General features: G+C 62.6%; 1 protein-coding gene across 3 annotated transcripts in view, besides 3 other annotated features; it reads right to left on the bottom strand.

Annotated features, from left to right (window-relative positions):
- Positions 1-283: part of an enhancer, noted in NCBI's record as "H3K27ac-H3K4me1 hESC enhancer chr14:105398641-105399539 (GRCh37/hg19 assembly coordinates)", that runs on past the window's edge. NCBI's record gives its function as "activates a minimal SCP1, AML or CMV promoter by ChIP-STARR-seq in naive H9 embryonic stem cells {active_cell/tissue: H9 hESC(naive)}" and the evidence as "EXISTENCE:reporter gene assay evidence [ECO:0000049][PMID:30033119]".
- PLD4 (phospholipase D family member 4) overlaps positions 1-7,708 on the bottom strand; it is a 12,907-nt gene extending 5,199 nt beyond the window's left edge. For 2 of the 3 annotated variants that reach the window (NM_001308174.2, XM_011536411.3), the window contains exons 1-10: positions 7,597-7,708; positions 5,357-5,484; positions 4,721-4,914; positions 3,655-3,838; positions 3,160-3,280; positions 2,482-2,609; positions 1,645-1,845; positions 700-839; positions 410-575; positions 232-328 (exon numbers count right to left, since the gene is read on the bottom strand). In NM_001308174.2, the coding sequence (NP_001295103.1) occupies positions 232-328; positions 410-575; positions 700-839; positions 1,645-1,845; positions 2,482-2,609; positions 3,160-3,280; positions 3,655-3,838; positions 4,721-4,914; positions 5,357-5,467 (1,342 nt within the window). In that variant the 5' untranslated portion in view covers positions 5,468-5,484; positions 7,597-7,708. The remainder of the gene's footprint in view (positions 1-231; positions 329-409; positions 576-699; positions 840-1,644; positions 1,846-2,481; positions 2,610-3,159; positions 3,281-3,654; positions 3,839-4,720; positions 4,915-5,356; positions 5,485-7,596) is intronic. The other variant, NM_138790.5, reaches the window with a different exon arrangement.
- Positions 6,874-7,383: an enhancer, noted in NCBI's record as "H3K4me1 hESC enhancer chr14:105391541-105392050 (GRCh37/hg19 assembly coordinates)". NCBI's record gives its function as "activates a minimal SCP1, AML or CMV promoter by ChIP-STARR-seq in naive H9 embryonic stem cells {active_cell/tissue: H9 hESC(naive)}" and the evidence as "EXISTENCE:reporter gene assay evidence [ECO:0000049][PMID:30033119]".
- Positions 7,366-7,535: an enhancer, noted in NCBI's record as "experimental_33759 CRE fragment used in MPRA reporter constructs". NCBI's record gives its function as "activates a minimal promoter by MPRAs in K562 erythroleukemia cells, with activity observed for both the introgressed and non-introgressed 14:105391474 variant alleles {active_cell/tissue: K562}" and the evidence as "EXISTENCE:reporter gene assay evidence [ECO:0000049][PMID:34662402]".

The raw sequence follows: 7,708 nt of genomic DNA, 5'->3' as shown, positions 1-7,708 counted from the left end.
AGAACTCCACCTTCATCACTTGGGGACAGGCGTCCTGACTCAGTGTTCTGGGGCCCTGTGGGGCCAGGTGACAGGCGGGTGGCCTGGTCCCCGGAACTCCATGGAGACCCCGTCCCCCTTCAGCAGCAGCCCCTCCCTCCTGAGGTGTCCACGCCGGTCACAAAGCCAGTGCCTCCCTCGCCCGTGCCTGGCCACCCTGGGGCCCGCCCGCCGTGATCTGATCGCGCTCACCTATGTAGGCTGCCTTCTCCGTGACCATGAACTTGCTGTGGTTCACCCTGCTGAATGGGATGTTGGAATGGTTCCCCACCGGCACGATGAAGACTTTCTTAGGGGAGCAGAGGCAGCGCGTCAGGAAGGGCGGCAGGAGGGCCGCCTTTCCCACGCCCGGCCGGGAGCACGCCCTCACCACGTCCACAGAGACGTTGGCCGCGGGGTTGCTGAGCGCCTGCAGGGACCGCAGGTAGGGGAACATGGTGGGGTCCGTGTTGAGTCCGCAGCCGACCAGCAGGCGCACGCGCACGCCCTTGCCGAAGGCTGCCGCCCGCAGCGCGTTGTCCAGCACCGGCCAGTACCTTGGGGTGGGGAGGGACGGGGCTCTGCTTACAAGCCGGGCCCGATAGGGGTCCCAGCAGGAGGGGACGTGCCCAGGAGCTGCCCGTCAGCAGAGCAGGCCGCCCACCTCCCACTCAGACCTACCTCGGGGGGTGGCTGAAGCGCGTGGTGGGGAAATACTCCATCACGGAGGCATAGATGAACTCCTGGGCGCTCCCCATCACCGCCAGCAGCGCCTCCAGGTCCCGGGTGCGGCCCTGGGGACAGAGTGCTGGTGGCGACGCCTGTGACGGGAGAGAAATCCCTGAAGGCTCTGCCAGCCCAGCCCATTCTGAACTTGTGACCCCACCATGCACCACCTAAGAGGCCCCATGTGGTGTGGAGGGAGGGGGCCCAGGTGCCTGGAAATATGAGGAAAGAAGGGGTCGGCTCAACAGGGGTCCTGGGGACTGGCTCTGAGGCCTGGCGGAGAGAGTGGGGAAGCAGCTGGACTGCCCTGGGCTCCAGGCTGGATTGACGTCCCAGAAACAGTTCCTGGCCACAGGGAAGTTTATCCACTCCCTTCAGGGTGCCACCCCCACCCCCATCTAGGGAGGCTTCCCTTGTTCTGATACAGCCTCTACTACAGACCAGTCCCTCGGCTGGCTGGAGGGCTGTCCACCCCCACCCCCGTGGGCTGATAAAGGAGGATCTGCCCACCCCTCACTCTTCCCTTCCTTCCCCGCAGAGCAAGTGGGGTTCCCCTCCCTCTCCAGTGCCCAGCTAAGCCCCTTGGCCTCGCCCAGCAGTCTGGAGACTCCCAGGGCCCCAGGTCCTCCCACCACCTCCCAGGCGGCCTGTTTCCCAGGGATGGTGCTGACCAGCTGTCCTCCTGGAGCTAAGCCTGCCTCCAGGCACAGCCCAGAGCCTACTGATGCCAGCCTGCTTGCTGCTCACCCCAGGGCCACAGCCCCACCCATGGTGCTGGCTGCCTGAGGACCCAGCTGATGCTGCTGGTGTCTGCAGGGCCAGCCCAGAGGGCTCCCTGTGGGTCTGGCCAGCCAGGGGAGAACAGGGGCCTCTGATGGGCTCCTTCTCAACCCGTCTTACTGAGAAGTAGGCAGTGGTGGGCACCCCATCAAAGAGGCCGTGGAAGGGCTGGAAACGGTTGAAGTGAGATGAGAAGTTCTGAGGCCAGGTTTTGGGGAGGACAGCCTTGGGCACCCCCAGTACCCAGTAGGTCTGGAAGGTCTTCTCCAGGTCTTGGGCCAGGTGGCTGCAGTTATAGATGACAGCGCCAAGCTCCTTCACCTGCAGGGACCAAAGTCAGGCGCTGTGGGAGAAAAACCCCTCTGTGGGGCCTCCACCCCACTCCACCCAGGCCAGGGATGTTGGGGCAGGTGCAGTCCCTGCCCGACTGGTCCCCACTTGCGGGAAGCATTGCCTGTAGGAATCTGTAATAGAGTGTGCTGGTGGGAGGAGTGCCCAGCGGGTGCCTGTGTTTTTGAACATTGTATTCCAATGATCAAAGCAATACACGTTTATTACAAAAACAATAGAAAATGCATCAAGCCATTAAGAATGGGATCATTCTTAATCCCACTGTCAAGTGATAACCATGGTTGCCTTTGCCATGACCATTCTGACACGTTTTTCATGCATTGCTTTTCCTAAAAAGGCTTGTATTTTGTAATCTCCATGCTTCCCTGGGTAATGTGACTTGAACATCTTTCCATGTCATTGAATGTGATTCCACAGCATGAATTCAGTGGCTGTGTAGAATTCTATCATTTATTAGACCAGTCTCCGGTTGTTTCTACCATAGTGAATTGTAAACAGGACTACACGACTTTCTCCAGATGCACTGAGATGTCAGGCCAAGTCCCCAGGAGTGCAGGCGGGGAAACGCTTCAGGCAGGCCTCCTGTGTTAGGGCCCTGGCACTCACCTGCGTCAGAGACCGCCAGTCCATGTTGGCACTGCCCATGTATATGTGCCGTCCATCCACAACCCAGAATTTGGAGTGCAAAACACCCCTGGTGAGCCGCCCCATGGGCACCTGTCGTACATGGGCACCTGGTGGAGAGTTCAGGCAATGGGATGAACTAGGTCTTGCTAAGTGCTAGCTTCATGGTGAGCCTGACCCCAAGCTCTTGACAGTGGGGTTGACTCAGATGTCCTCACAACAGTCCTACTAAGCTGCTGCTATCCTCATCCCCATTTTATAGGTGAGGACACAGAGGGATAGACTGGCCCAGGATCCCTCTGGGCAGCTCAGCTCCAGAGCCTGCCTTTGTGGTGACTGCCCATGGCCTCTCACTGCCCAGCCAGAGGTCCCAGCCTGAGCCTCCACCCACAGGTCAGCTGCTGGGCTCAGCAGGGCTCCGAGGCCACCTGTGCTCTGCCCTGTGGAAAATGGCACTTTTGGATCCGTGGAACCAGCCCTGTGCCCAGGTGAAGCTGACTCAAAGGACCTCAGAGCCCTGGGTCCTGCCCTCCTGGGGTGTCCTAGGGAAGTCCAGGGCACCTTTCCCACCCTCACTTCTTTTCCTTGTCCTGTGGTGCCAGCCAGACAGCCCATGCCCGACGCTAGGGCAGTGGTGCCCAGCATGGTGCAGGTACCCACCTCGGGCAGCCAGAACCTGCAGGTCGGTGGATGTCCTGGCCAGTGTCGGGCTGCTGGTGGCCACAGCCAGGGAAATGTTCCTGCCCAGCAGCTGCTGCAGCTTCTGCAGAAGAGCCTCTCCCTGCAAGGCCAGGCCAGCCATGAGAGCTGACCTCAGGCTGCCCTCTCCTCCGCATCCCCACTAGGACCCATGTCCTCCTCAGGAGGCCCACCTATGACTGCCCACAGCTCAAGGTCAGGTCAAGTATCTGGATGACCCTTGGTGAGAGCCAAACTGCACCAGGCACAGTCTGAGTGTTTAGTCACCCAGAGGCCCAGCTCCTTGACACCTCTGCTGTTAGAGCCCCCAAAGGAGCGGCCTAATCCCTGTTCCATGCTAGACCCTACCACCAAGCTGAGCCCCCGGGCCTGGTGCCCGAGACGCCTGCATAGATAGGCAGCCTGACTTGCTGTGTTTCCAGCACCAGGATGCGGTGGGGCCAGGGCGGGGCGCACCAGCTGGGAAGACGAGTCGTTGACCCCGATGTCAGGCCCTGTGAGGGACCAGTAGTATGAAGCCACGTGGACGCTCTCCTGGGCAGTGTCCAGCAGCTGCAGCCAGGCCTGGCCCAGAGGCTGGGCAGAGGGGCTGCCGGCTGCAGATGGCAGGTCCTGGGGGATGCTTTCCACAAGGACAAGCCTGTGGGGAGAGCCACACTGGGCTCAGTATGGGTGCGGGAGCCCCCAGCCCACCTCACATCACCTGCCCCATCCCACTGCCAAGCCAGAGCAACCGTTGCTCAGGTGGCCCCCGGGATGAGCCCAGGCCAAGTGTGCAGGGTAAGGGTTTAAGGTATAGGCAACAAAACAGACTGGGCAGGGTGGGCCTGAGCCCAGCATGCTGCTGGGGTGGTGACACCCAGGAGCAATTTGGGAAGGAGCCTGAGAGGGGCTGCCTGGTCCAGAGCAGGCTAGACTGGGGGGTCCTGGCCCCACTCAGCCCTGAGGCACTGCCCACAGGGAGCAGCTGCTCCTGAAGCCGGGCAGAGTAGAGCAGAGCTGTGGAGTCTGGGGTCTGGGGTGGCCTCGTGGTGTGGAAGCCCTTGGTGGTGGCCAGAGCTGGCCTGGAAGGGAAAGGTTGGGCCAGGGGCAGGTAAGCTCCCGTTTCCAGGGGATGTGTGCAGGATGGCCCAACAGGTTCCTCCGGGGCAGTCCTGGGATTCCAGGACCCCAACCGCAGGGAAAGAAGGGTGGGAGGGAAGGATGAGGGGCGGCAGGGGACAGTGACATTACCCCCAGGGGTGGAAGGACTGAGGGGGTGAGCCTCAGCACAGGCAGTGTTCTCCAGCCTGTCAGAGCCCCCAGGTGGCAGCCTCTGTTTGCTGCAAAAAGCACCACACGCCTGCCCCGTCCCCAGCCCCCACTCCAGCTCATATGGTCGTGGCCCTCCCTGGTGACCTGCACCTTCCTGGAGGAGCTGGTAGAGGGCCCCCCTTATCTCACGGGCAGATCCAAGGGCAGAAACACAGGCAGCAGCCCCAAACTGAGACCTGCCCCCGCAGGCCTCCATGGGCTCACTTACTGGCAGGAGTCCCTCTGCTGCCTGGCCTCTGCTTCCAGGGGCTCCCAAGCTGGGCTGGAGCCATGCTCCCAGGACCTGGGCACGTCCTTGGGCTGCACCTGGCCCCAGGTGGGAGGACGGGGCACTTGCCACAGGAGGCAGATAAGAGCCACGGAGCCCAGCCACAGCACAGCCAGCGCTCCCAGGACCTGCAACTGGATGGGGCAGCACCCGCAGGGTCACCAGACAGGGCGGGGCTTGACTTCTGGCTGGGCCACGATGGCCCCTCCAGTGCTGAGACAGAGACCGTCTTGACTTCCCGGACCTGGGCTGCCACTGGGGTGGGACTAGGGTGGACAAGGGAGAGGGGAGGGTGATACAGAGAAGGCCCCCAGCCCAGGGTGGTGGCAGGGGTCAGGGGGCCTGCAGCCCACTCTGCAATGCTGTGGCTCGTGGTAACTGGCTGTCCCCAGCACCTCCAGCAGGGGCATAAAGGGAAGGTCTGGAGCAGCCCAGGGAGGCTTCCCTTGCCCACCAGTCAGGGCACCTCTGCTTGGAGGCCCCCTCAAGGCTGCTTGTGACCTCTCCACTCTGGCTCGGAGCTCTTGAAAGGCCATTGATCCCAGCCACCTCCCCCCTGGGGCCCCCCAGTCCTACCGTGCCAGCCTCTCTGTCCCACGGGCGGCGGGGCGGCATGGAGCATGGCCATGTGGGGGCCACTGCTGCTTTCCAAAGAGGCTTCAGCATCTGCACAGGGCAGCCTGGCATCACCAGCAGCTCCAGCTCTGCCCAGAACTGCCCCTCAGTGCCTGGGCAGCTGGGCACTGGGGACACCCCTGCACAGACACCCACATAAGCCCCCAAAAGCCCCCCACTCATGCCCGAGGTCACGCCCTGGATGTTGGGGGTGTGCTTTCCACGAGGACAAGCCGTGTGGGTGTTGGAGCCCGCAGCCGGCCACATGTCACCTGTCCTGTCCCCCTGGCCAAGCCGGAAGGACTGCTGTTAAGGCGGTCCCCAGGGCTGAGCCTGGGCCAAGCACGAGGGGCGGGCGGGCGTCTGTGCCTAGCCACATGCCCCGGCTTTCTGTGTCTCCCCTTTCAGGGTCTCCCACTCAGTGAGTATCTAGGTATTTGCATCTCAGTTCCCTGTTTCAACCACAACTGAAACTGCGTCTGAAAGGGCTGTTTCTGCTTTTGTCGCTTGGTCCTCTTATTGCTGGCCTATAAATAACTGCTTCCCTCCTGGGCTGGGCTCCTGTCTTGGCCCCACGGCAGCCCCTCCAGAGAGCCACAGGTCAGAGGGGGCAGCTGAGCAGTACCCTTGCTGGAGAGGCTAGGCGTGGAGAGGGCAGAGATGGCGGCAGAGTGGGACCCCTACTGCTGGCAGAGGGGGTTGTCCTCTGCTGCAGGGACTCGCCTTATCTCCTCAGAGTGGTCACCCCACAAGGAGCTGGGAGCCAGGCCATCTGGGCCCTGTGGGATGTGGGCTCCCATCCCCACTCCTACCCCCAAAGCAAGCAGTCAGGCTGCCCCAGGTGCCACCATGGGGGAAGGGTGCCTCACAAGTACAGAGGCGCCCTCCCCGGGTGCAGGGAGGGGTCTGTGCCCAGCATGGTCACCTGGCTGGCCAGCCTCTGACTGAGACATCCACCAGGGCAGGAGCTGGCTGGCCCCTGGCTGGGATGGGGATGTCTCCGAGGTTTGGGGCCTGGGCCTGGGCAGTGCTGAGTGCCAGTGTCTGCAGCCAGGCTGGGCGCTGGGACCCAGGGCTCGGTGGGTCGGCTGTCCACCCAGGAGCAGCCAGCTCAGCCTCCAGGCCTCTGGGGTTCGTCTGGGCTGTCCTCCCACGGGTCAGGGCTGAGGGCTTTGAGAACCTGGCCTGCCTCAGCATGGGGCGGAAATGCCAGGAACACCACAGGAGTCGGGCCTGGACTGAGTCTGCCCTGGAGACCAAGCGTTATGGGGGATTGGGGGTAGGAGCATAAACCAAGTGTGGGGACAGGGGACTCAGGCCAAGTCACTGCGGCCCAACTCCCCCCACGCTGGGGGGTCCTGCAGAGGTGGGTGGGTGCCGCCCCCACCCCAGAGCTGAACTCTGGGGGATGCTCCCCCCACCCCACAGAGGAGACCTCAGGGTGCCCACCGTGTCCCCACTGTCCCCAGGGATTCAGGGCCCAGCATCGGGCCTTTGCTCTCCCCCACTAACTCTCAGAAGAGGAAACATGGAATCCTGGGCTGTGGCTGGTCAATGAGAGGAAACATGGAATCCTGGGCTGTGGCTGGGCAACGAGGTGCCAGGGCTGTTCTTGGACAGCTGCTCCCCACACTCCCTGCCCTCACCAGAGAGGACCTTTGCTCCCTTAAATGCTCCAGGCAGACGGGCAGCTCAGAGCACAGAGGCGCTGCCTCTTGCAGGCCCCATCTCAGACTTGGAGCCTGTCCAAGTCCCCTCCCAGGACTACAGACCCCAGAGCGCCTCACCACCTCCTCCTGCAATGGAACCTGGGAGGACCGCCAGCCAGGTTGGCTCAAGCTGAGAGACCCCTGCAGAGTAGGGCTGTAGCCCCCTGGTCCCATGGTAGATAGCGTAAGACCCTGCAGACATCAGAGGTCATGGCTGAAGGTGCCAGATTTCCTGCCCTGCAGGGCATTAGGCATGGCTGCCAGTCCCAGGCTGAGGTAGAGGGCCCAGCTGTCACCTGGCTGGAGAGCCAGGGCCCAGCTTATCCCAGCTGCACGGACTGGGGACGGAGCGAGTCATCTACAGGACTAGCTGGAGGCTGTGTGACTCTCTGGACCTGGGGTTGCTGGGAGGCTGAGGCCATAGGGAGGCAGACAGCAGCCCTTTCCCCATGCCTGGCTTTTCTCAGCTGCCCTGGCCTCATTGGCACATACCTCTGGGGGTCCTGCCTTGGTGTCTATCCTGATTCCAGCCGCAGACTGCAGGCCCTCAGCTCACGGGGCAGGCTCGGTGCTGCCTGTGCTCCACACCAACCTCCTCTTCTCT

Source organism: Homo sapiens, chromosome 14, assembly GCF_000001405.40.
Source record: "Homo sapiens chromosome 14, GRCh38.p14 Primary Assembly".
NCBI lineage: Eukaryota > Metazoa > Chordata > Mammalia > Primates > Hominidae > Homo > Homo sapiens.
Note: the sequence above shows the minus strand (reverse complement) of the source record. Positions and strands in the feature narration are given on the sequence as shown.